The 27,974-nt window shown below is 37.4% G+C and overlaps 1 protein-coding gene across 27 annotated transcripts in view, besides 1 other annotated feature; it reads right to left on the reverse strand.

Moving 5' to 3' along the window:
- The window catches only part of PDE1C (phosphodiesterase 1C), an 811,448-nt gene that overhangs the window by 202,282 nt on the left and 581,192 nt on the right, over nt 1–27,974 (reverse strand). For 26 of the 27 annotated variants that reach the window (XR_001744802.1, XR_001744803.1, XR_007060044.1 and 23 more), the window contains 5 exon segments: nt 18,812–18,913; nt 18,122–18,242; nt 9,234–9,315; nt 5,809–5,929; nt 4,015–4,190 (listed from right to left, as the gene is read on the reverse strand). Coding sequence is in view for 21 of the 27 variants with exons in the window: in XM_047420443.1 (XP_047276399.1) it covers nt 4,015–4,190; nt 5,809–5,929; nt 9,234–9,315; nt 18,122–18,242; nt 18,812–18,913 (602 nt within the window). In the remaining 6 variants the exon portion in view is untranslated. 27 annotated transcript variants of the gene reach the window in all.
- Nucleotides 6,477–6,978: an enhancer, noted in NCBI's record as "NANOG hESC enhancer chr7:31865149-31865650 (GRCh37/hg19 assembly coordinates)". NCBI's record gives its function as "activates a minimal SCP1, AML or CMV promoter by ChIP-STARR-seq in naive H9 embryonic stem cells {active_cell/tissue: H9 hESC(naive)}" and the evidence as "EXISTENCE:reporter gene assay evidence [ECO:0000049][PMID:30033119]".

Below are 27,974 nucleotides of genomic sequence, written 5' to 3' on the forward strand. Positions count from 1 at the left end.
GAATGAATGGTAGCCCTTCTGACATCATGATCTAATCAGATACGAGCCTATCCTACTGTATGATTTCTCTACAGCAATCATGTTCCAGCAGGTGGTCCTGCAGCTTTTCTACTCAATTTCCATCTCTTAGTCACATCTCTGAGATAGCTGACATTAGTGTGATCGACTGCATGACACCCAAAGTGGTACAACTCAAAATTTGTAGACTGAAACAAGCAAGCACATAAATAAGAAAAAAGAAAATATATTGACAGGAGGTAGGTCTTTTTAACTGCAATCAGATTCCTTTATATTTTCTGGGTGAAATTATCGGTATAGATGAAATTTTCGTATAACAAGAAAAAGGACTTGAGAACAGTTATTTTGTACATGCTCACAGCTTCCAACGACAGCAAGTATACAGAGAATTCACTTTTCAGGTCTTAGATTTAGCATCTACTAGGCTTCTTGACTAGTAGAAAGCAAGAGATGTGCGGTTCATTTCTGTTTCCTTTGGCTTCCCATGTCAGACTGTCTGTGGTGTTGGGACTTGGGATGAAAACAGCCAAGAGCAAGCAGCTAAGAGTTAAGGTAGAGCAGAGCCCTCGAGATCCATAAATTTGCTTCCTCCCAGTGGAGAGCCAGTTCTACCCCACAATGCATGTCCGTACAGTTTTGGGGAAATACATTGATTTCTTTGTCTTCCTGAATAATGATACTATAGGGTCTCAGTTAAAAACTGTATTGGGCTAATTATCCCTTGATATAATTTTCTGAAATGCCTACTTAAACTACCTACAACCAGAGAGAGAAAGAGAGAGAAAAAACAGAGAAAAGAGAGAGAAACTGACCAGAAAACCCAAAATACTATATGAATTTTGACTATTTCAAATCTCAGTTCTATACAAGAACAAAGAAAGGTGCTTCTAGACATTTAAGAACATAGAAGGTGTTCCCGCTTCCTGAAAATTTTAGTCAAAGAAAGAAGTGCTCCAGCTGACAGAAAACTTCAATCAACATTAAAAACTCAAAAATGAGAAAAATATGTAAACGAATCATATACTGTAAATCTAAATATTCAGTATCAGAATAAAATATTCAAAAGAAAGGCCAAATACAAGACAATATTATATTATGATCCCAATTTGTCGGCAAAATTTTTACTTATACATATGTACAGAAAAGCAAATTACAAAGAATAACATCAGAATTTTAATAATAGTTATATATGTCTAGAGAGGTAATTAGTAATTTTCATTTTCTTTTATATATATTTTTTATACTTCAGCATTTGTAACCTAAACATGTTAGTCTTACACCAGAAAATAAATGTTAAAAAAAAGTACTAAATACTGAATGGAAATTAATCAATATTGATCAGACTTGAAAATTGTTATGTCCATACATCTTTAGTTGGCAATAGTGATTTTTAACTCTAAGGGCTATAAAAATATTTATTTAATCTTTCCTAATAATTATCAGTTCTTGCCTACCTAGTTTTGTAAATCAGGTTGGTTAACAAAACCAAGACCCATTTCCAGTGCATTTACTAACAATACATGTTCAAGTGCCCCACGGAGGACAGCCTTTCTTGAAATCAGGGTCATCTGGAAAAAAAGAGCAACAAACAAAACAGCCACCACCAACAGAAAACAGATGCGAACTAGATTTCTAATTAGCACCAGTCAACCAGTCAACAGCATTACTGAGCTGCTAAGAATGTTATAAAATATTAGTTACAGGTTGCTATTTTCACCACCACCTTAACTTCGTATTCAAACCTTTAACCTTCTTTTCCAATTTGCATACATAACAGCTACTACTTAGGTACCAACCTTGTGCAGGCTGCTTTCTCAGTGCTTTATAGGTATTACTTCTATTCACCTCAATTCTGCGATGTACATTATCATCCCCAAAGTGAGTCTCAAAGAACCTATCTGAATTTGCCAAAAAAAAAAAAAAAAAACCTTGCAAGTCAAGACTCAATTCTCTCTCCCCTTCCCTGCTAATTGAAATGTGCCCTGATAACCAAACTATTCTCCCACAAGATATCCGTAACACCAGGCTCTGTGCCTTTGCCCAACCCCTTTCTTCTTGTTCCCATTTCTAAATATAACACCTCCTTCAGGTCTTAATCCCAGAAGTCTGCTACATGATGCCTTCCCAAACTCCCAAGCAAGGCTACAGACAACTTCTTTGTGCTTCCAAAATAGTTCAAACACACAGTTATCTCTATCCCCATACCAAATGCATTTAAAAATTATTAGCTGTTTATTTATCTGTTCTTTTTAAAGGGCCAGTTTTCTCCTGAAACTGTCAAATGCTTCCCCAGGTGATTAGTTTCTGAAGGTAATTTTAGTAAGCCAGATAATTGCAAACAAATTATTTTGAAGTACCTCTTTAAATTGCATGTTGTCAGAAATTGAATTTTCAAGTGTAATGAGTGTAATTGATTATAAGAGAGTGTTTCTTTGCAGATGATGCAGTAGCTGCCATCGCTGCTTGCAATGCCTGCCAACAGGGAAGATTGAAATGTTTAAAGCATTTGAATGGACTAGGAGAGGGTGCACTTAAAATATGGAAGGTGTTGGCTCCCTCCATAGCTCAGGGTGCAACATCTGTCCTGAAATGATAAGGGTTCAATTATGCCCTAAAAGTGCCATAAATATAAACCCTTTGCCTCACCTGAAATGAGCAGCCACTTGAACAGAATTTTATGGACAAGTCACAAAATTGGACAGAATTTTGTGAACAAGCCTTTGAATAACTCCAACAGTGAGGCTGCTGCTTTCCTACACTAGAAGCAGAACCCCCAGCCCCAACCCAATATATGGGAACCAACACTGCTAGAACATGCTCTTACCCACCGTCCCCACCCTTCTCACCTGGTATACTGACACCAGGAGGGTAAAAATGTGAGATGTTGTGTTTGGGGAGGGGATAATGTGTTTTTGTCTGATGTGAGGGCCTAGGGCTTAGACTGGTGGTGCTGGTGGCAACTTCAGGGCTTTGACTGAACTTCCATTCTTCCTTTGAATGAAATTCTGTAGTAATGTCTCTTCCCTTCCCCTGCCACAAGATTGTGAGTTTTGAGGGCAAGGATGTCTGTTACTCATCTCTGTACCCTGGGCACCGGGCACAACCTGGCACACAGTAGGCATGCAATAGATGTTAGCAAAAACCGACTCTTGTTGAAGGCTCACCTCTAGGAAGCCCAGTCCCCTCACTGGGCTCCCAGAGCCACCATGTCTTTGTCCCTACCTGGAATCAGACATCACAGTGTCAGACCCCTTATCTCAGGTTTGCGCTACCTGTGCACAAGGGCATCTCTCCCTAGTATGATAATGTAGAATGTACCGATCATGGAGGACATGCTCAGTAGTCACAAATGCACATATGAACAAAGGAATGTAAGCTTTCCAAATCATACAAATTTCCATATTTTTCTGTTGATAGTACCAAGGGCCACAACTTTTAGTTTTGATGATGTCTGCTTCAGGGAATTTCTGTTTACCGACAATTTACCATCATCTCAGAAGATCAGTTATATGGTTTGAGCAATGAGTGAAGGGAAACTGAGAATATGAAAGGAATATAAAAATGCCTGTAAGAAAATTAAAGCTCCTTATATCCCAACATAATGGCCAAGGCAAGGTGGCTATTAGCGGGTCTTTACTTAGGTAAAAGAAGAAATAAAAGCCTCACAGTTGTGCCACATGATATCAAGTGAAAACGACAAGATGTTTAGCAGAAATCAAGAAATAATAACACCCATGTCCTGTAGAGTCTTCATACTAGAAAAAGGAGTTTAGTCTCACAGCATAAAGGGAATCATGTCAGGAGGCTTGCAGGTCTGCTGCATTTTATCATGCATTGATTCGTAGATATTATGAAGATCAAAAGATGGTAGATTCTAATATTCGGCAATTTGAATCTGCATCCTGAGCAACTGTGCTTTATTTGTAACACACATAACTCAGAGAGGACAACCTTGTTTTATGCTGAATTGGTTTGGACAGGTCTGTGGCATGTTACCTTTGGGTACCTTGGCCCTCCATCTCTCCCGATTGATGTGCACCACTTCCGTCCAAGTAGCTTTAAAGCTCTTATAGTCAACGGAGATGACAGAATTGTTGATCGGGGCACTTCCCTCTGAACCAGAGGTCTTGACACCTGATCGCTTGGCATCTGACGAGCTGATGCTATTCAAACTGGAAAACAAAAAAATCATACCAAAGAAGAGAGTTAGTGTTTGGAAAATGTCTGCCAATGAGCAAGCCCAGAGGAGGAATGGTTAGCACTCCTAAAGTTATTGCTGTGAAATATCTGGATCCTGAGGTTTATAATTATTCTATTTTCCACATATGACCGGTGGGAAATTCTGAATTTTCAGCAGGAAAAACATCAACATTGCAGTCTCAAGAGTCTCTATATTCTTCATATTTCTTCTTTGCTATTTGGCCTCTTCTTTTTTCCCCATAACCAGAATCCCCTCATGTGAATTTTCTCTGCTCTGTTCTCTGAAACTGACTAATTTGAACTGGGACATCTACTTAATTCCACAGTTCACCTACCTGCTTCCACACTGACCACTTTTCCAAGTTACCTAGCAACTTGCTCCTCTTTCTTTCCAGCTCTACCATTCCCCTGCAAGGGTCTTTCTGATCCCAGCATACCCAAGTCCAGGGGAAGTGATAATTTCCTTAAGTTGCTGGAAGAAGATGGAAATGCGGACAGCATGGAGATTGTGAGGGACTAGGTCATGCAAAAGACCTTATGGGTAACTTTGTAAATATTAGAAAGCACCATCTTTCTGGAAAATCTCAAAGAAGTAACTACTGCTACCAAGTGGTTAAAGAAGTGACTGGTAGGAATACAAATTCATGATGGACTAGACAAGCAGAATATATTTCAGTCACTGCCTGAAGAGCTGTGGGGCCATGGGGACTCTGGCAGGGGGCTCTGTCCTCCTTGTTAGCAAACTTAAGAGGGTCTATCCATCTGGAGCATCCCTGGGGTCCCCTGTCCTAACGCCTGTCTTTCTTTACTCCTTTTCCTGCTCTTTGCTTCTTCTTTTCCTATTCATTCCACTTCTCTTCTTCCTCCTTTATGACAAAGCCCACTGTTCTACATGAACAAGGAGATTAGTAGTAGTCGTAATAGTAGTAGTATATCTAATAAAGACTTTATGGTAGCTAGCACTTCCTCTGTTCTAGATCCTGTTGTAAGGTTTAACATATTTTTAATAACTTATTTCGTCTTCCCAGTCACCTCTGAGTATTATAATCCACGTTTTCTCAGATGGGGGAAGTGAGACAATTGGCCTGCGATTGCACAGCTAGTAAGTGATGAGGTCAGGAGTAAGTGATGAGGAGCTGCCCTTGATATAATGATGTGGTGGTAGAAGGTGATTTCAAGCTTTCGATTCTTTTTCTCTACTTCATTCTTTGTGCAAACCTTGAAATGAAAGTCAGTTTCATTTCTTTGTAAGTATTCTTGATGAGTGGTACTGTCTTTGTGGAGTATTACATGAGCAAGGATTGTCTGGGCACAGCAGGTAAACATGCAGCAAATAGGGTGGCAGGGGGGCAGCACCAGGTGCCTGCTGGTCACGATTTAGACCTTGGTCACCCTTTACAGTTTAGCCTGGAGAGTACGGATAATACAATTTCAACTCCTCTGAGAAAAGGAAAGAGGCAGACAAATTTTTCTGAGAAGGAGCTAAGGCAAATGCCATTATGAAATACCATCCCCATCCCCAGCAAAAGAAGAATTCTATCCTCAAGGACAGGCCAACCTCACCCTCAGCCCTCAAGCTTCCCCACTGACCTCGAACGCCTCTGTCCTGTCCCACCAGTTTGAGAGGTTTCATCGATTAATGGACTCACAATCTTCTCGGTCATGTCCGTAAGCACAGTGAAGGTGGGTTCCACGATGAAATCAATGAAACCTGAAGAGAAACAGCAATGCTTCAGAGGAACCACATATTACCTTGGGCCTTTCCATACTTTCCAGAAGAAACTGATCTAGAAGTTCCAGATCAGATTAAAAGAGAATGGCTTGATCTTATGTACTGTATGTATTCCTTGATTTGAATATTACATGTCAGTTTCATTTCTCCTACATAACTTCCTATGACTTTTCAGGATACAGTTCAATAAAGTGCCTAAGAAATATACACTCAACACCCACTATAGAACAAGCACTGTGATAAGAGCTGTGTAAAAGACCAAGACTGAATAACACAACCTGCCTGAAGTTGTGACATTTGAGCTGAACCCTTAAGAATGGGTGGAGAGGAAGATGTGGCTATTCACTCTGGGCGGTGGGAATGGAAAAAGCCAAGTGACAGAGATGGGAGGGTGTAAGATGTGTCTGGGGACTGACTAGGGAGTAGGGATTCTTTTGGATTTGGGGAAGGAAAGCTTGGGAAGGCAGGTTATCGACAGCTCTAGGAAGGGAGGCTTCTAAGTGTTCAGATAGAGGGTTGGGACTTAGGTGGACACTGGAGGCTCCTGGAGATGTTTGAGCCGCATTGTCATAAGAGTTTTTAAATGTTCTTTGGAAAGTTAATCTGGCAAGATAGATAAGAAGGAAGAAAGCAGGAAGGGAGAAGGATGAGAAAATCATTTAGAAGCTATTGCAATTGTTTAAACAAAAGATAAAGAAGGCTGGAACCAGTGCCACTATAAAGTGGAAATGCAAAGCAGGCACAGATACCTGCACAGCAGGAGGTGGTACTGCCTCTGTATGGGATCTGCCAAAGACACTCCAACAACAAAGCAGGGAAAACAGGAAATAGAAGGAGAATAAGGCCAAGAAAAGACAATGGGCTCAGTTTCAGATTTGCTGACTTTGAGGTACAGGGGGGCACATCTAGATGGGAGAGGGCAAACAGAGTTGGAAGAAACAGGATTGGAAAGTGGAAGAGGGCTCAGGCCTAGAACTATACCTTTGTATAGTGATAGAGAGATGGCTGAAGTCGGGCTACAGAGATTGTCCCAACAGCTCAGACACCCAAATGTTCTGCGACAATCAGGAGAGAAAATAGGAGCTGAAGCTAGTGGGGATGCTGGTAATTCATTACACAGTCACATGAAAACCGGAAGGAAACTAAATATCAACCAGAGGAAATGTTGTCCATTCTCCTTCGAAGGGCATGTTTGGAAATGTATGAATGCATATTTAGTTTTCACAATGGCCCAGGTAGAGGTAAAGCTGGCATTAATGCCCAGCAGTAAAGGATGTTAAAAGTCCTACAATGTAATTGACAAAACAAGAATTGTCTCAACCAAATACCAATAGTATCGTGATTGATAAGGAAACAGTGATAGCCAAAAGTGTATTATGGTTAATACAGTGTTGTAATTGTGTATGTGTAGTATGTATTGTGTATTATGGTTAATTATAGTGTAGTTTTAAGCTGAAACTAAAGTATTTGATGACACCATTTTTGCCTTTTTTTTCCTGACAAATTAAGCTCAACATGTCCAAACCAGAACTAACTCATAAGCTTCCCCACAACCTTTGTAAATGGGATCATGGTCCAACCACTTAATGTAGAGTTCTGCCTTTATCTCAGCTTTGCGTTCAGCCAAATCCTTGATACCTTATGTGCCACCTCTCTTCTGGAGAGGCCCCGTTACTACCTTAGTTCTGATATTCATCATCTCTTCTTTGTAATCCTGTAGGAGGCAGTCAACTACTTTCCTTGCCTCTAATCTTACTGAAAATCCTCCAATTAATCCTCTATGCTACTGGCAAAGAAATCTTCTAAAAACAGGGTAGGCAAACTTTATCTGTAAAGGACCAGATAGTTATTTTAGACTTTGCAGGCCATATCATCGCTATCAAAACCACTTAACTCTGCCACTAAAGTGCTAAAGCAGCCATAGACAATATGTAAATGAATGCACTTAGCTATGTTGTAATAAAACTTTATTTACAAGAACAGGTGGTGGGCCAGATTAAGCCCACAGGCTAAAACATAAATTTATATATTTTTAACCTCACTTAAAATTCTTTAGATATGCCCTCATTTCCTACAAGAAAGTATAAACACATGCTATTATTAACACTATATAAAATCTGGGCTTGATACGTCCCTCACTACATCCTACTCCGTACCCAATGTTCTTGCCATATGGAAATGTTTAGAATTTGCTGACCATACCAGGCAGTTTTAAGTTTCCCTGCTTTGTATATGCTACATTCTCTGCCTGGAATACCCTTCTACCCACCCCTAGCTCACCTCCAACACAGATCACCATTTGCCCAGACAATGCCTACTCACTTCTTGGGACTCAATTCAAATATTATCCCTTAATAAACCTAATGGTTCACACACTCTGTTGTGTACCTTATCGTACTAGGTACAAAAGTCTACCTTGGCATTATAACATTCTAATAGATTTTTGTTTTTGTAACATTTTGCCCATCACCCAATACTGGTTTAATGTCTTTGAGAGCAGGTACCATATATAATTTGTCTTTGTTCCTATAACATCTATTATCATGTCTAGCAGTGCCCAATATATGAAGACTCAATATACATTATAAAAAAAGCATAAGCACTCAAAACACAAGTAGAAAAATGCCTAATTCTTATTGAATTTTCTTAAATGACTTCAGACTCTTCAAAGGTGGAGATCACTGACAACATTTAACTTAGATAGGGCACTGGTGTCCTCTCCCACAGATGAAGATTTTTAAAATGCATATATTATGGTTATTAGCAATTCAAAAGTTATTCTTACCTTAAAAAAGTGCTTTAAAGAAAAGAAAGGATGGAAGGAAGACAGGAAACAAGGAAGAAAACATTTTAAAAGATCCATTCATGGAAGTAGATTCAACAAGGAAATGGGGCTGTCCTGAAAACAGGGCTAGGAGAAGCATCAGTGAGTAGAAATGCCTTGTTAGCTTACAGTCCTGCATGCAGAATGGCGGGATGGAGTAGAATGGGCTTCCTGCCAATGACACTTGTTATCTCCTTGGAAAGTTGGGGCCCCCTCTTTCTCTTGACAGGGAATGACAGAGACACCAAGAGTATCATTGTCCAATTCTCCCATGAACAAGCCACATTCCAGGGAAAAGAATGGACAGAGTGGTTCCATAAATTGAATCAGGCAGAGCCATGAGCACAACATGGCAGAATGGAGCCAGTTTCCCAGCCAAAGAACCACTGGGATCATCTGTGCTTACTTCTACAGGCTTCCTGCTTTGGTGCTTCTATCCAAAGAGCTGCAAACACGTACCTACTTGTGACTGAGCAACCATAGTGGACTTTCGGTCACACAGAGGAGAAAAAGGCAGCCCCAGCTCTGCTTCTCTGTCACCCTGGAAAAATAAAAGGTCATAGTAAATTAAGGAACAGTAGGCTGGGTCACCCAGATTTCATTTAGCAACTTCTGCCGCCACGGAGGCCACTGGTCTTTATTTTAATTATTACAATTACATTATAAAATAAGTCTTTATGGAGCCTGCTTCTCTACATAAAAGACACCAAAAGGCTGAAGCCCTCTGGGATCCAATAGTTCCACCCAACTGCAAAGTTCATGTTGCTGTAAAGAAAGCCTCATTGGGCAGTACTAGGACCTCCATGGAAAATAAGGCAACAGGCAATATGTCTTGTGGCCTGCAGCCAGCACTGCAGGCAGAATTTCTGTGTTTTCTCAAGTCATCCTGGGTCAACCTGTGGCCATTGTTTAGCTAATGAACTCCTCCCAGATGTGGGCAGTGTCTGAAACTAAAATTCAAACTGGACTGATTCAGACTGATTCTTCTAGTGCTACCTAAAGCCACACACACTTGGAGCAAGTGCTTCTGGGTTTTTAACCTCAGAGACCAGTCCATAATGAAAAGTGGACCAAAAAGAGAATAAATAATTGCTTGTGTCTATGAAGTTAGACAACAATAAAACACAATTGTCTAACCAATATATTCTCAATCTCACCAAAAAGCATCACCATAATAAGCATTATGAAGAGTCTAAATAATAATGGAGATGTTTTCTAAAAACTTGGGCCAGAGGCTTAATACTTGTCATACCCCCAGAGGAAAGGAAAAATAATATGTCACCCTTCTTATAGTAGTGAAGCTGTGCTAATTCATTTTACTGGCTCAGGATAATAGCTACTGACTTGTGCTTGAATCCCTTTCTCCTACTAGATGTGAGATAGATCACAGGTAAGTTATTTTCCTTCCATACATTTTAGTTTTTATCACTTGCTAAATGTGAGATAGTAATCTCTACCTCATAGGGTTATAAGGATGAAAGAGGAAAATGCATGTAAATAAATAAAAAGAACTACTGTTGTTTCCCAACAGGTGGCTCTAATATTTAAGGCCAAGACTCGAGAAACCTTTAGTGAATTTGTTCACCTAATACACTCCGATTGTAATAAGTACTGTCAATAAATTAATGTAATAGCAAATAAAGGGTAGTAACAACCTGCAACCAGGCCTGGTTCAAAACTGGATGATTCTTCCTTCTAAGGCATGCTACCAAAGAGAATGGATATTGGCTCACATGTAGCATTAACTGAAAGGACGGAAAAGGGGTGTGTGTCTGAGGCAGCTCAACAGTGGGGTCACAATGGGAGCTGGGGACATCCAAGGGTCTCAGGAATAGTCCCTAAGTGGCTCAGTTCCTTCTGCACCCTCTTCCTATATAGACACCCCAGCGGACACAATGGCTTCTTTATTTCAAGTACGCACTACTGAAAACTGCTCTCTCAAGTGGCATGATAAAAATGATTTCCTCCTGAGTGATTTCTACCTAGGTGATATGTAGAAAAGGAAGTGCATTTATAACATAAATTCTAGTGGTGTAGATGGTTTGGTGGGATAGTTCAGCTAAAACAAACAAAACCCTTTTTATTCCCATGTAGCAGGGATACAAATTGTTCTGTCAGTACATTTTAATGGGGAGGGTGTGAACACTCTCCATGACTATTAAAATATAAACACTAATTTGGATTTCATTACTGAACAATCACCTGATACTAAATAACTCCTAATTCCACGAACTTGTCTATACCCAAATATACACATAATTTACATGCTTTGTATTTAATTGAGCTGTGTAGACTCGACTAATAAAAGCTTATTTTTAAAACAGAGGTACTTGAATTCCCTTTGGAAAGCAGATATACTTACGAATTGAAAAAAAAAAACAGTGCTGATAATGTAGAGGAATAAACTTCTACTCATGAGTCCAACTTGAGTGATAACACAATACTGTATGACTCTACAGCTATAGCTTAAAATTATTCATACACTTCCTCTTTATTGAAGAGGTCAACATTTTCAAAAGAGGGCAAAAGTCTCTATTTACACAAAGGATTTTTAAAAACTCACTCATTTTTTTTTCTTCCAGGACAGCGCAGAAAAATAAGTATCATTCCTGCAGTAGGGGTTAAGATAACTCCAACTGATAAAGCCACATAGTTGGCACACAGAAGGAAGATAATGAATATTTGTTGAATAAATGAAAAGACTAATTTGGTTAGAAACACTCAAGTTCCTTTGGCCACTCAGACATTCATGACAGACAAACTAAAGACAGCAGTTAGGCAGGTAGCTGTTCACCACATCCCTATTCTTCTCCTCCTCCATTTCCTGTCTACACAGCTAGACCCCATTGCCTAGAATCACTGCCAGTTAGTGCTCAATAACAGAACGAGAGAAGGGATGCATTTCTACCACAGTTCAGGCCTACAATATCTCTTATGCCTACTTCTCCATGTTTTCCCCAGTTTGCTGGTTTGATGTAGACAAGCACTTTGGAAGCAAGGTAGATGGCAGAATACGGTCTAAAATCATTGCTTATCATAGAACCATCTGCTAATCAAGAAACATGAGTCCTATACTGTACATGAGTGAGTTCAAAACTTCTGTTTATGTGTGTTGTTATACATTTGGGGGTAGCTATATGTAAGCAGCAAACCAGTCAAAAGAGACAAGGGCTCCATCTGTATTGGAAGTTCACAGAGAAGATGGCACCTGTCAATGCAAGAGCTTCCAAAGACATTTAGGTAATATCTCAAGTGAGTCTTTTCAGGTGAAATGAAGAAAAAGCAAATGTTTGGGAATGCAACAGAAGGATCAAGTTGAACAAAGCACAGCAATGTATATTCTTCTTTCCCAGGGGAGGAAGGCACAAATATAACATATGAGAAAGGCATTGTGATGTTGGATTTAAGATAGCATAGTAAAGTTTTAGCTCTTTCAGAAATTATCACCTCAAAAATAAGGAGAGTAAGAAACAGAAATGCAATCACACATCCTAGGAAAAATCTGTAATCTAAAATCAAAACTATATGAGAAAGGGCTGCCAAATGCTGTAAATATCAGAGAGGAATAAGGCAAGATGCCAAGAGGCTAGGCAGAGAATAGACATTGAATTGCAAGAGGCCCTACAAAAGTAAGGAAGTAAAGGCACACACACACACACATGCACGCACACACACACACACACACACGCACATACACACCGCTTCATAGGACCCTAATAATAAACCAAGGACAATTCTAGATAGCTTAGAATACTACTGCTCTGATTGCCCTGTGGTACAAATCTGCAAATAGTTGGTCTGAAAAGAACACATTTCACTCAAAGATTGTAAATAACAATAATAAAATAAAGTGAAGAAGAAAAGAGAGGAGGAGGAGAAGGGGCAGACGGAAGAGTAGAAGGAGGAGGACAAAGAGATGATGGAGAAGATGGAGGGGAAGAAGAAAAAGGTGAAGAAGAAGAAGAGGAAGGAAGAGATAAAAGAAAAAGAGCAAAGGGAGGAGAAGGAAGTATTATACCATCAGCAGCAGAAGCAGGAATAAAGAACTTCAAACAAACAACAGATGGGGAATACTCATCAGATAAATGGTGCCACTACTAACAGAAAGAAGCCCCTGAAATTGTTAAGAACAAGGGCTCAGGGGAATGAGACCTAGCAGAGCACAGGAAAGACATTGAAAAGGGAAGAAAACTAGAACTATCACATTAATGCAGATTGTGCTGGAAGCAGCTCAAAGGAGAACTGAATTGATAAAAATAAAAAGGCCAGTGAAGGCACTATAAACAAAAAGAGAAACAATAAAACAATCTGATAATTTCATAGAGAACAAAGGAAAAAACTCACCAACACGTGTAATAAATAAAAATGGGAAAAATACTATAGACACGGATTAAATTAAAAGAATTGTAAGAGATGTTTGCAAAATATAAAATTGTACAACAATACAAAGAAAATGAACCTCACAGTTTTTCCAACATGACATATTTACCAACGAGGTGAACTTATACTTCTTTAAAGTCAATATTTCATCAAAAAGTACCCTGAGGCAGTGGCTCGGATTTTGTAAATTATGGTTATAAAACTGAAGATGTAACTTACTCTCTTAGTAACCATGGAATGTGTGGTCCATCAGCACTGAGACTATGCCCTTATTTTAAAATGTAACCCAACTTTCCAAATGTAATTTTTAAAAACACTCTATAGTGCCATTGAGATTTCCCATTTGAATTGTCCAATTTAAAAATCTATAGTTAAGAACTGAGGCAGCATTTCTCTTACATGTGTTACTTACTATAGCTTATGGCATCTAGGTTAAAATATTAAGTCAATAAAAATAATTTACTGAATTTTAATTACTAAAAAATAGTTCCAGTCCAATGAGTTAACAGTCCCTTCCCAACAGGCAAGAAATTCAATATGGTTATTTTCATATTGCCTCTAGCACATTTTTATTCGAGTATATGTATGTGCAAACAAGTTTTCCTTTACGAGGAAAAAATGTTCATATGTTTAAGTAATTCATTTTTACTTTCTCATAATTAGAAAAAGAATCACTTTAATACCTCAAACTATATGAGTTAGCTATTATCTATCCTTTCGCCATGGACCAAATACTCCTAGCTGTAGAGGGTTTGTTATGGTTTGGCTGTGTTCTCCCACCCCAAATCTCATCTTAAATTGTAGCTCCTATAATTCCCATGTGTTGTGGAAGGGAGCCCGTGGGAGATAATTGAATAATGGGGGCAGTTTCCTCCATACTGTTTTCATGATAGTGAATAAGTCTCATGAGATCTGATGGTTTTACAAGGGGAAACCCCTTTCACTTGGTTCTCATGCTGTCTCTTTGCTGGCTGCCATGTAAGACATCCCTTTGTTTTTCCTTTGTCTTCCACCACAGTTGTGAGGCTTCCTCAGCCCTGTGGAACTGTGAGTCAATTAAACTTCTTTCCTTTATAAATTACCCAGTCTTGGGTATTCTTTATCAGCAGCGTGAAAATGAACTAATACAGTAAATTGGTACTGGTAGAGTGTGGCTCTGCTATAAAGATACCTGATATGTGGAAGCGACTTTAGAAGTGGGTAACAGGCAGAGGTTGGAACAGTTTGGAGAGCTCAGAAGAAGATAAGAAAATGTGGGAAATTTTGGAACTTCCTAGAGACTTGTTGAATGTCTTTGAACAAAATGTTGATAATATGGACAATGACATCCAGGCTGAGGTGGTCTCAGTGGAGACGAGGAACTAGTTGGGAACTGGAGTAAAAATGATTCTTGCTGTGTTTTAGCAAAGAGACTGGCAGCATTTTACCCCTGCCCTAGAGATCTGTGGAACTTTGAACTTGAGGGAAATGACTTAGGGTATCTGGCGGAAACAATTTCTAAACAGGAAAACATTCAAGAGGTAACTTGGGTGCTGTTAAAAGCATTCGGTTTTAAAAGGGAAACGACACATAAAAGTTCAGAAAATTTGCAGCCTGATGATGCAATAGAAAAGAAAAACCCATTTTCTGAGGAGAAATTCCAGCCTGCTGCACAAATTTGCAGAAGTAACAAGGAGCCAAGACAATGGGGAAAATGTCACACATCACAGACCAAGAGGCCTAGGAGGAAAAGATGGTTTTGTGGGCTGGGCCCAGGGTCCCCCTGCTGTGTGCAGCCTAGGGACTTGGTGCCCTGCATCCCAGATGCTCTAGTCATGGCTAAAAGGGGCTAGGTACAGCTCAGGCCATGGCTTCAGAAGGTGCAAGCCTCAAGCCTTGGAGATTTCTGCATGGTGTTGAGCCTGCAGGTGCACAGAAGTCAAGAATTGAGGTTTGGGAACCTCCGCCTAGATTTCAGAGGATGTATGAAACCACCTGGATGTCCAGGCAGAAATTTGCTGCAGGGGCAGGGCCTTCATGGATAACCTCTGCTATGGTAGTGTGGAAGCAAAATGTGGAGTTGAAACCCCCACACAGAGTCCCTACTAGGGCACTGCCTAGTGGAGCTGTGAGAAGAGGGCCACTGTTCTCCAGATCCCAGAATGGTAGGTCCACTGACAACTTGCACCATGTGCCTGGAAAAGCAGCAGATGCTCACTGTCAGCCCAGGAAAGCAGTCAGGAGGGAGGCTGCACCTGGAAAAGCCACAGGGACAGAGCTGCCCAAGACCATGAGAACCCATCTCTTGCATCAGCATGACCTGGATGTGAGACATAGAGTCAAAAGGAGATCATTTTGGAGCTTTAAGATTTGACTGCCATGCTGGATTTTGGACTTGCATAGGCCCTGTAACCCCTTTGTTTGCCCAATTTCTCCCATTTGAAATGGCTGTATTTACCCAATGCCTGTACCCCCATTGTATCTAGGATGTAACTAACTTGCTTTTGATTTTACAGACTCATAGGTGGAAGGAACTTGCCTTGTCTCAGATGAGACTTCGAACTGTGGACTTTTGAGTTAATGCAGAAATGAGTTAAGACTTTGGGGGACTGTTGGGAAGGTATGATTGGTTTTGAAATGTTAGAATACGAGATTTGGGAGGGGTCAGGGTGGAATGACATGGTTTGGCTGTGTCCCTACCCAAATCTCATCTTAAATTGTAGCTCCCATAATTCCCACATGTTGTGGGATGAACCTGGTGAGAGATAACTGAATCCTGGGTGCGGTTTCCCCCATACTGTTCTCGTGGTAGCAAATAAGTCTCATGAGATCTGATGGTTTTATAATGGAAAAATCCCTTTCACTTGGTCCTCATTCTCTCTCTTTGCTGGCCACCGTGCAAGACATCTCTTTACTCTTCTGCCATGACTGTGAGGCCTCCCCAGCTATGTGGAGCTGTGAGTCAATTAAACCTCTTCCCTTTATAAATTACCCAGTCTTGAGTATGTCTTTATTTGCAGCATGAGAACAGACTAGTACAGGGTGATATTGCAAAAGTATTATCAAAGAAAGCATATGACAGGGGGAGTGGAGATTTGGAGAACATCCTCCTACTACTATTAGAAAAACAGCCTTTGGAAAAATAGCTCAAAAGAAGCTCTTGGTGAAGGATGATTTTGCGGAGTCACCTGTATAGTTCTAGTTCCCCCCACACCATGGAGTCCCCTTTGAGAATTACTCTGAGAGGGTGAGCAATGACTCTGCAAAGAGAATTAACCATAAACTAAATAGGGTACCTGTTGACATACACATATAATAGCTGGGGGGTGCTGCGGTGTGTGTGTGTGTGTGTGTGTGTGTGTGTGCGTGCATGTGCACCATAGACAGAGTGAAGGAAATGCCTTGCATTTCCTAACAAAAGGGTCTTAAGAAAACATCTCGTCCAACCTTATCCTAAATCCTTCCCTCCCCCCGCTCCCCCAACATAAATCACAGATAAGACCATAGGGAATTAGAGAAGCAATTTGATTAGACTCAGGCCATAAATCAGTGGAAATAAACTCCAATAAAGGGTCTTCTGGCATTTGTTTAATGTGCTGTTAACTCTAGCCCTACTTCATTACTAGATAGTTTCAGAAGGAAAACACACACACACAGGCACACACACACACAGGTGCCTTCTACAATTTCTGCATTCAGACTTGAAATCTAAGAGTAAGAATTATCACAATCTAAATTTATTCAGAAAACTAAATAAATAGCAAAAGAGCCCATCTCTTGTCAGTTTGCGGGACGAAGTTGTGACTTGTGTTATTAAGCAGTGTTTTATGGAATCAGAAGTCTCTGAATCCATGCTGTTGAATCTCTTTTCTTGAATTAGCAAGAATTAACTGAATTAGCTGTATTAACTTGAATTTATTATAATTTAGGTCACCAAATCTATGTATCATGTCTTCAATCTCAGGCCCGCATGTCTGGATGCAGATGTTTGAATGGCAGCACCTCTAGAGATAAGGTTAGCACATGTGCCTGAGTTGGAAAGACTTCGGTCTTGGTGCTATGCATTTATTTCCCTATTTCTCTAGTTCCATGCAATTTTAAAATTTGTTTTTAAACAATTTATAATAATTAAAGATCCTGCCTGTTCTTTTTTTCTTTTTCTGAGACAGAGTCTCGCGCTGTCGCCAGGCTGGAGTACGGCAGTGCGATCTCGGCTAACTGCAACCTCCATCTCCTGGGTTCAAGCGATTCTCCTGCCTCAGCCTCTCAAGTAGCTGGGATTACAGGCACCCACCACCACGCCCGGCTAATTTTTGTATTTTTAGTAGAGATGGGGTTTCACCATCTTGGCCAGGATGGTCTCAATCTCCTGACCTCATGATCCACCCGCCTTGGCCTCCCAAAGTGCTGCAATTACAGGCATGAGCCACTGCACCAGACCGATCCTGCCTATTCTTATAGACAACACAACTCTGGAACTTAGGATGGAGTGAAGTTTAAATACAACTGGAATGGCAGTTTCTAGTGATTTCCTGACCCCAAATTGCCACATCTGGTTTGGAATTTTGCGTCTTGGACTTGTCCATTAGAAAGAAACAACCCAACCAATTATAATAGAGACATGAGTTCAAGATTAACATCTTAATCCCATAGGGTGATGCCAAAGTAACTGTCATTTTGTCGAGCCACTAGAAAAAAAAAGTAAAAGAACCCCTCAAATGACATTTTGACAAAAGACTGCTACAAGGAAATACTTTTTTTCCCCCAAACAGAAATGCATAGGATAAAAATACCATAATGTCCTAAAAAGCAGTATTTAGGTAAGATTCAAATATCACATGACCAAGAGGCAAAATAATCTGTGGAGCCCCCCTCCCCTCTCCAAAATTACTGTAATCTCAATAGTCCTTATCCTAGCATTGCTGAGATATAAAATTCATAAAATATCCAATGATGACAGTCCTGATGGAGAGAGAGCAACAAGGTACCTGTCTGAAGAACTCCTCCAGGAGTGACATTGTCCAGCGATGATGGAGGTCCCATGCTTTTGCTGGATGGCTAATATCTGCTGTATGCAGCATAAGGGATAAGGCTTTTGGCTTTTCAATGCTGTAAACCAAAAGCACCCAAACACATGATAACCACACTCTTCAGAACCTCAGTAAGAGTTTTTTAAAAATCATTAAGTTTTTAATCTCTTTTGTTCTTCCATCTCAAACCCCACTTCAGCTAAATTGAGGAAAAGACATCATTTCATCCTACAACTGGGATACTCATTAACTTGGTCTCCATATTTACGGAATTGGACTCTCTGGACTCAAATCCATTTCTGGAATGACTGCATCCTTCAAAAAGAGAGCAAGAATCCAAGAGTCACTGACTTTTATTGGTTGCTTCTGCATTGGGGATCTCTGATAATTTAGTTTCCCACAGGGAATTATTTTTAATTCTCACTGGGGACAACTGATGCTGCCTCTATTATTTCTTTCAACCCTGATGAGAACATACCTTATTGTGGTAGGTACAACTTTTATGCTTTCTCCTTCAAACATAATCATTGCATAAGAACACTCTATAAAGTTGTGTTAAAGGAGATGCTCTTTAAAGGGATAGCCACATAGACGAGGACCCATTCAAACACCTATACAAACAAAAACACAAGCCACAAGCACACTTACGCTTCTGGCTGCTGCAGAGCAGTCTTCATTGCTTTGATTTGTTGGAAGTGACAAGACATATCTGTGGCCATCACCATTTCAATTACCAAGGTTCGAAACTCCCTTTTAGAGACAACCATGGAGAAAAAAGGATGGAAGTCAAAAATGGAAAGTAAAAATCAGTGTTTTTTTTTTGCCACTGCTAATGAAAATCAGTCAACGATTTCTGACATTTCTAATCTAATTTGGGTCTTTAAGGTGAGCTTTTCAAATAAGGAATAAATGAAAGCTAAGTATTAAGAAAATCATTTATTAGGAATATGATACATGGAATACACATATCATTTGGAAAATTAACTCACAGGAAAAAATTCAATGAAACTGAAAATTGTATTAAAATGCTCTTTTCTCCAAATGAATTCAGAGTTTTAAGAAAGAATTAACTTGAAAATAATCCTTGGAGGTAAATTAATCATCCGTATTTCACATTGGATACAGGTATTCCATCTTTTTAAAAATAGCTTGATTTTTAATAGAGTTTTAGGTTGACAGAAAAATTGAGCTTATAGTATAGCTAGTTCTCATGTTACCTCACTTCCAGCACAGTTTTCTTATTTTTAAAGTCTTGTGTTAATGTGGTGCATTTGTTACAACTAGTGAATCAATATTGATACATTATGTTAACTACAGTCCATAGTTTACATTAAGGTTCACTGGGCATGCTGTACAGTTCTACCAGTTTTGACAAATGCATAATGCCATGTATCCACCATCACAATATCCATACAGAATAGATTCAGCACCCTAAAATCCCCTGTGCTCCTTCGATTCACCCCTCTCTTTTTTCCCTCAACCCCTGCCAATCACTGATCTTTTTACTGCCTCTAACGACTTTATTGAGGTATAATTTACATAGAATAAACTGCTTACAATTTACATAAATTGCAGAATGTAATGAGTTTAACAGTTGAGTAAGTTTTTGAAAATACCACTGTAATCATGATACCAAATACTTCCATCATCCTCAAACCTAGCCCCAGGCAAAGTTTGATCTGGCTTATGTCTATCTAAAATAGTTTGAATTTTCTAGTTTTATACATGTGTACATAAAGTATACACATATATATTTAGTATATATTTCAAATATTTAATATATATTATAGATTTCAATATTTATATATTATATACACATATATTTCATACATATATACATATTTATTATATACATACATGTAGACATACATAGATACACATATATGTATTATATATTAAATATGTGTGTATATATGTATATATAGATTATGTATATATGTATGTATACACACATACATATACGTATGTATACATACATACATACGTATATGTGTGTATACATACGTATATGTATGTATGTGTGTATATATACATACATATATACACACATTATTTTAAAATAGTCACACATTGAAAATATACACACATATTATTTTAAAATATAATAGATAATACATATTATACACACATACATACGCATTATATATTAACACAGATACTAGATATATACACACGTGTTTCCATGTATATACATAGACACACACACACACACATATATAATACAAAATGTACTCTTTCTTTACTCAGCATAATGATTTACAATTCATCTATATAGTGGTTCATCAATAGTTCATTTTCTCTTATTGCTGAGTGGTATTCTATCATATGAGCATACCACAGTTTGTTATCCATTTACTAGCTAACGGACATTCAAGTTATTAGATTCTAGTTTGGAACTATTGTGAATAAAGCTACTATGGGTATTCATACATAAATCTTTGTGTAGACACATATGTTTTCATTTATCTGGGGTGAATACCTAGAAGCAGAATGGCTGGTTTATAAGACAGCTGAGTGTTTATAAGAAACTGCCAGCCGGGCATAGTGGCTCATGCCTGTAATCCCAACACTTTGGGAGGCTGAGGCAGGTGGATCACCTGAGGTCAGGAGTTCGAGACTAGCCTGACCAATATGGTGAAACCCCGTCTCTACTAAAAATACAAAAATTAGCTGGGTGTTGTGGCATGCGCCTGTAGTCCCAGCTACTTAGGAGGCTGAGACAGGAGAATTGCTTGAACCTAGGAGGTGGAAGTTGCAATGAGGTGATATCATGCCACTGCACTCTAGCCTGGGTGACAGAGAGAGACTGCATCTCAATTAAAAAAGAAAAAAGAAACTGCCAAATATTTGTGAAAGTGGTTGTATCACTTTACATTTGACCACTAGCATATAACATTTTCAGTTTTTCTTTGCCTCCTCTAATGAGTCTTTAATTTCAGCCATTCTTCTGATGGATATGTAGTGTTATCTCATCTTGGTTTTAATTTACATTTCTTTGTTGACTATGTCAGGCACATTTTCATGTACTTATATTCCATTTGTATACATTTTTTAGGGAAATGTCTGTTTCAAACCTTTCTCATTTTAAAATTGAATTGTTTACTTATTATTGAGTTATAAAAGTACCTTACACATTTTGGATTCAAAACCTATGTAAAACATAAGTGTTGTGAATAATTTCTCCAATGTCTTGGCCTGCTTTTTTTTAACGGTGTCTTCCAAAGAGCAAAAGGTTTAATTTTTATAAAGTTCAATTTATCATTAAAAAAATGCTTCATGCTTTTTCTCTCCTATCTGAGAAACCGCCACCTACTTCCAAGGACTTCAGTATTTTCCTCTGGAAGTCTTGCCATTTTAGCTTTTACGTTTAGGTTTATAACCAATTTTGAGCTATTTTTTGAGTATGGTATGTGATAAGGGTCAAAGTTATCTTTTCCCATTGTTCCAAAACCATTTGTTGAAAATATTTTCTTTTCCCCATTGAATTAATTTGGCATCATAAATCAATTGATGAGTCAATTTCAAAACTCTCAATTCTGTCCCATAGTTACGTATGTCCATCTTTCACCAGTGAAATGCTGCCTTGAATACTGTAACTTAAGCATGCTTGGAATCAAGAAATATGAGTCCTCTAACCTTGTTCTTCATTTAAAAAGTATTATTTGGCATTTCTATATAAAGTTTATAATAATCATGGCAATTTCCAACATAATTCTGCTGGAATTTTGATTGGAATTGTATTGAAACAATAAATAAATTTTGGAAGATTTGACATCTTTATAATACCGAGTGTTCCACTACATGATGACAGTATATCTCTCTATGTATTTAGTTCCTCTATAATCAGCAATACTACATAATCTTTAGTGAACATGAGCTGCATTTGTTTTTGAAAGCTACTACTAAGTATTTTATATGTTATGTGCTATTGTAAAAAATTATTTTATTTTCCAATGGTTTGCTGCTAGTGTCTCTCTCCCTCTCTCTGTCTCTCTCTCTCTCTCTCTATATATATATATATATGTATATGTGCATATATGCATATGTGTATATATAATGTTTTTTACATTAACCTTGTATTCTGTGACCTTGCAAAATTCATTATCGGTTCCAGTAGCTCCTTTACAGATCCTTAGGATTTTCTACTTAGGCAATCATGTCATTTGCTATTAACATCTTAACAATGTTGATGAATGTAAGATCAAGCATCTTTGTCTTACTCCCAGTCTTAAGGAAAAAACATTCAATATTTCACCATTAAGCTTGATGTTAGTTATAGGTTTTTCACACATGCACTTTATCCAGTTGAGGAAGCTCCCTTCTGTTTCTGGCTTGCTGAGAGTTTTTATGATGAATGTGTTGAATTTTGTCAAATGCTTGTTATATATCTATTAAGATGACTGTATGATTTTCTGTTTGTTTTTAAATATGGGGAATTCTTTTAATTAATTTTTGAATGCTGAATTAATCTTGCATTCCTTGGATAAGCCCAATATATGAGTCAGGATTCTCCAGAGAAACCAATAGGATAGAAAGAGATTTATTATGAGGAAGTGGCTCACATAATTATGAAGGCTGACAAGTCCCAAGATCTGCAGGGTAAATCAGCAAGTGGAGATCCAGGACACCCAATATTGTACTTCCAACTTGAAGGCTGACAGCTCAAGACCCAGGAGGAGCCATTGTTTTAGTTCAAAGACAGGCAAAAAGAATTCTCTCTTACTTGGGAGGTGGTCAGCCTTTTTGTTCTAGTTAGGCCTTCAACTGGTTGAATGAGGTCAACTCATGTTAGGAAGGGCAATCTGCTTTACTCAGTCTACCCTCTTATATGTTAATCTCATCCAAAAACACCCTCACAGAAACAACAGAATAATGCTTGACCAAATATCAGCACACACTGAGGCCCAGGCGAGTTGATACATAAAATTAACTATCACACATGATATATTACCTTTTTAGTATATTGTTACATTTAATTAGTTAATATTTTACTGAGAATTGTTATAGCTATGTTCATAAAATACATTAGTCTTTAACATTCCTTTTTATGAATTTTTTTCCAGAGTGTGGTATCAAAATTATGTCTTATAAAACAAATTGCACAGTATTTCTTCCTTCTCTAAATACATTTGCATAAGATTGGTATTATCTGTTCTTTACATATTGATAGAATTCACCAGTTAAACTATCCAAGGCTGGATATTTCTTTGTGGGAATATTTTTGATGACAAAGTCAATTTTTTAACAGACATAGGATTGTTCAGACTTTCTGTTTCATCTTGTGTGAATTTTGGTAAGTTGTATTTTGCAAGGAATTTATCCACTTCATCAAAGTTGTCAAATTTATTGAGATAAAGTTGTTTGTAACATTTTCTTATGTATTTCATATGTATAGGATATACTGTTGGTACTTTGTGTTCTCTCCTTTTTATTGACCAGTCTAGGTAGAAGGTTGTCAATCATGTTGCTCTTTTCAAATAACAGCTTGAGCTTTCTTAATTTTTTCTTTTTATTTTTTCTATTTTATTGATTTTTCCTCTTATCATTACTAATTTCTTCTATCTACTTTGAATTTACATTACTGTTTTGGTCTAGCTTCCTGAAGTCATTGTGTTTGGAACTTTTTTCTTTCCTACTATGAACATTTATAGCTGTAAATTTCCTCTAGGCACTGTTTTAATAGTATTGCACACATTTTTAATATATTGCATTTTCATTCTTGATAAATTTGAAATGTTTCCTACTTTCCTCTGATTACTTTTTGATCCACAAATGATTTAGAAGAATGTTGTTTAATTTTCAAATATACAGGATTTTCCTAGATATCTTATTGATCTCTAATTTAAATCCATTAAGGTCAAAGAACATACTCTTTAAGCTTATGATATTTTAAAATTATTAAAACTTATTTTAAAATGTCTCAGCATGTGTACTTGAAAAGAATATGTATATTGCAGTTGTTGCATGGTGTTCTATAAATATTAATTAAGGCAAAGTGGCTGATGTTGTTCAAATCCTCTTAGGTCCTTAGTGATATTTTTGTCCAGTTTGTCTATCAACTGCTGACGCAAGAATCTTAAAACCTCCTATGATTGTGAAAATATATATTTCTCCTTTTTCTCCTATCAATTTTTACATTTTATGTTTTGGAAGTCTACAGTTACCTAATAGTTATTTATGACTGATGTATCTTTCTGATGACACTCTTATTATCAGAAAATCTCCTTTCTCTTTCACAATATCCTTTTTCTTGCAGTTCATTTTAGCTAATATTAATAACACCACTGCATTCTACTTATTCTTACTGTTTGGTACATCTTACATACTTTTACTTTGAACCTTTTTGTGTATTTATATTTAAAGTGTATCTCTTGTACAATTGCAGTTGGAGCTTGCCTTTTTATCAATTCTAATAACCTTTTCCTTTTAAGTAGAATGTTTAGTCCTTTAACATTTAATGTAATTATTAATATAGTTGCATTTGGGTCTAGCATGTTATTATTTGTTTTCTAATTATCACCTTTGCTTTTTTCCCTTTGCATTAACTTTTCTGCTTGAGATATTTTTTGTATTATTTATTTTTTAAATCAATTTTAATTTATCTACTGCTAAATGGTCAATTTAAATTTATCTTTTGATAAATAGGTAAACTTTAACAATCTTTAGCTATTATGGTTAATCTTTTTAGTGGTTGCTTGGGGATTACAACATACATCTTTAATTTTCTGTCTACTGTATAACTTTATGTAACATTTAAAAATCCTGCAACAGTATAGGTCCATTTACTAACATTAACTGGTCTTTATGTTATCATTGTCACATGTATTACACCTCTCTACATACAAACCTCATGAGATGGTGTTGTAATTTTTGCTTCAAATGGTCAAATGCACAATTTAAATAAGTGAAGAAAAATGGTATTTTACATTTACCCAGATATTTATCAGTTTATTCTTTTCTAAAAGTCTGATTTCACTATCATATCATTTTCCTTCCAATAAATATTTAGATTTATTAATCTAAAAATTAATAAAATATAAAATAACAAAATAATATTTTTGAAACTACCTTAAAGAAAGCTCTAAAGAAATTTCTTTAGCATCCCTTGTAACGCAGCTCCATTAGTGACACATTCCTGTTGTTTTCTATTATCTGAAAATAATTTTATTTCATCTTCATTCTTGAAGTTCATGTTCACAGGATGTAGCATCCTGTGTTGGCTTTTTGTTTTCTTTTTAGCACTTTAAATAAATTATTCTATTGTTTTCTGGCCTCTATAGTTTCTGATGAATAGTCTACTGTGATTCAACTTGTTCTCCTAAGTGTAATTTGTCATTTTTCTTTATTTTATCTTTGCCTCTCAGCAGTTTGACTATAATATGTGCCTCAGTGTTCTTTTCATCGAATTTAACCTGTTTTAGGTTTGCTGAGTTTCTTGAATCTGTATATTTATATGTTTGGCAATATTTGGAAACTGTTCAGTCATTATTTCTTCAAATTCTTTTTCTTTCCCATTCTCTCTCTTTTCTCTCCTTCTGAGACTCAAATTGCCCTTATGTTGGCTCATATAAAATTATCCCACATGTCCCTAACTTCTACTCATTTAAAACAGCTTTTTCCTCTTACTTTTTCAAATCAAATAATTTCCAACTTTGAAACCTGAAAAATGAATTTTTAAAAGTCACTGTTTCCTTCTTCTGTCTTCTCTATCATGCACTAAGCCTATGTAGCAAATTCTAAATGTAGACATTTTATTTTTCAGTTCTAAACTTTGTTTTTAATTTATGTTTTCATTTTACTCATAAACCTTATAACAAAATAATATTTTTGAAACTACCTTAAAGAAAGTTCTAAAGAAATTTCTTTAGCATCCCTTATAACACAGCTCCATTAGTGACACACTCCTGTTGTTTTCTATTACCTGAAAATAATTTTATACACAAGCACATTTTTCATTACCTCACTGAGCATAGAAATAATAGTTGTTTTAAAAGTCCAAAGTCCTCATCTGATAATTCTAACAATGGCTTATCCTAGAGTGTGTATCTATTGATTGTCTTTTCCCTTACTAAGAAATCACATTTTCCTGATCTTTATATGTCACTTAGATTGTATCCTGAACATTATGGATATAAGTTGTAGGGAATCTGGGTTCTGTTATATTGCTCTGAAGATTGTTGATGTTTTGTTTTAGCAGGCAATTAACTTGTTTATACTCAAAATACAAACTCTGTATAGGTTCAGTAAGCAATACATCAGATATCACTGGACACAAGGAGGGAAACATCACACACTGGGGCTTGTCAGGGGGTCAGGGGCTAGGGAAGGCATAGCATTAGGAGAAATACCTAATGTAGACGATGGGTTGATGGGTGCAGCAAACCACCATGGCACATGTATAAACCTGCACTTTCTGCACACGTATCCCAGAACTTAAAATATAATAAAAAAAATTTTTAAAAAGGTTTGAAAAAAATAATAAAAGGTGGCCAGGCACAGTGGCTCATGCCTGTAATCCCAGCACTTTGGGAGGCCAAGGCTAGTGGGTCATTTGAGGTAAGGAGTTCGAGACCAGCCTGACCAAAATGGTGAAACACTGTCTCTATTAAAAATACAAAAAAATTAGCTGGGCCTGGTAGTGCATGCCTGTAGTCCCAGCTACTTGTGAGACTGAGGCAGGAGAATCGCTTGAATTTGGGAAGCGAAGGTTGCAGTGAGCCAAGATCATGCCACTGCACTCCAGTCTAGGTGACAGAGTGAGACTCTGTCTCAAAATAATAATAATAATAAAAGGTTTGAATATGGCAGAGAACAGCTTCACACATATTCAGATACATCATGGTTTTGAAGGATTTGTGTGAGGGCTTATTTAGATATTTAGATCGTGTATAATCCTGGCTTCCTGACAATCTAGTAAAGTGTTCTAAAGCTTGCATAATTGCCTCTTAACATATTTTCCAAACATACGTATGCTACTTCTGTTATACATACTTTTACTTTTCTTTTTTTTTCTTTTTTTTTTTTTTTTGAGACGGAGTCTCGCTCTGTCACCCAGGCTCTGTTCTGTCCAATGGAATAGAACAGAGGCCTCAGAAATAATAGCACACATATACAACCATCTGATCTTTGAAAAGCCTGACAAAAACAAGCTATGGGGAAAGGATTCCCTATATAATAAATGGTGTTGGGAAAACTGGCTAGCCATATGCAAAAAACTGAAACTGGACCCCTTCCTTATACCTTATACAAAAATTAACTCAAGATGGATTAAAGACTTAAAGTAAGACCTAAAACCATAAAAACCCTAGAAGAAAACCTAGGCAATAGCATTCAGGATATAGGTATGGGCAAAGACTTCTTGACTAAAACACCAAAAGCAATGGCAACAACAGCCAGAATTGACAAATGGGATGTAATTAAACTAAAGAGCTCCTGCACAGCAAAAGAAACTATCATCAGAGTGAATGGGCAACCTACATAATGGGGGAAAATTTTTGTAATCAAACCTTTTATTATAACTTTTACCAATAGTAAAATTGGATAGAGGGTTCCTTTTTTCCTGAAGTGGTGCAATGATTAATTGAATTGCTCTGCATTTTTCAGATGCTGGCTGAGTCTAGCATATTCCAATAAAATTTAAGTCAAATATTCCCATATGTTTTAATAAACTAAAGCTACATGGAAACTCTTAGCCACTCTTAATAAAAATCAGCCTCTCAGATTGTTCAGTAAAGTTCATTTCTCTAAATCCTTGAAAGATGGTGAGCACACAAATACCCAATAAACAGCTGATTATTTAATTAAAATATGA

This window comes from Homo sapiens, chromosome 7 (assembly GCF_000001405.40).
Source record: "Homo sapiens chromosome 7, GRCh38.p14 Primary Assembly".
Taxonomy (NCBI): domain Eukaryota; kingdom Metazoa; phylum Chordata; class Mammalia; order Primates; family Hominidae; genus Homo; species Homo sapiens.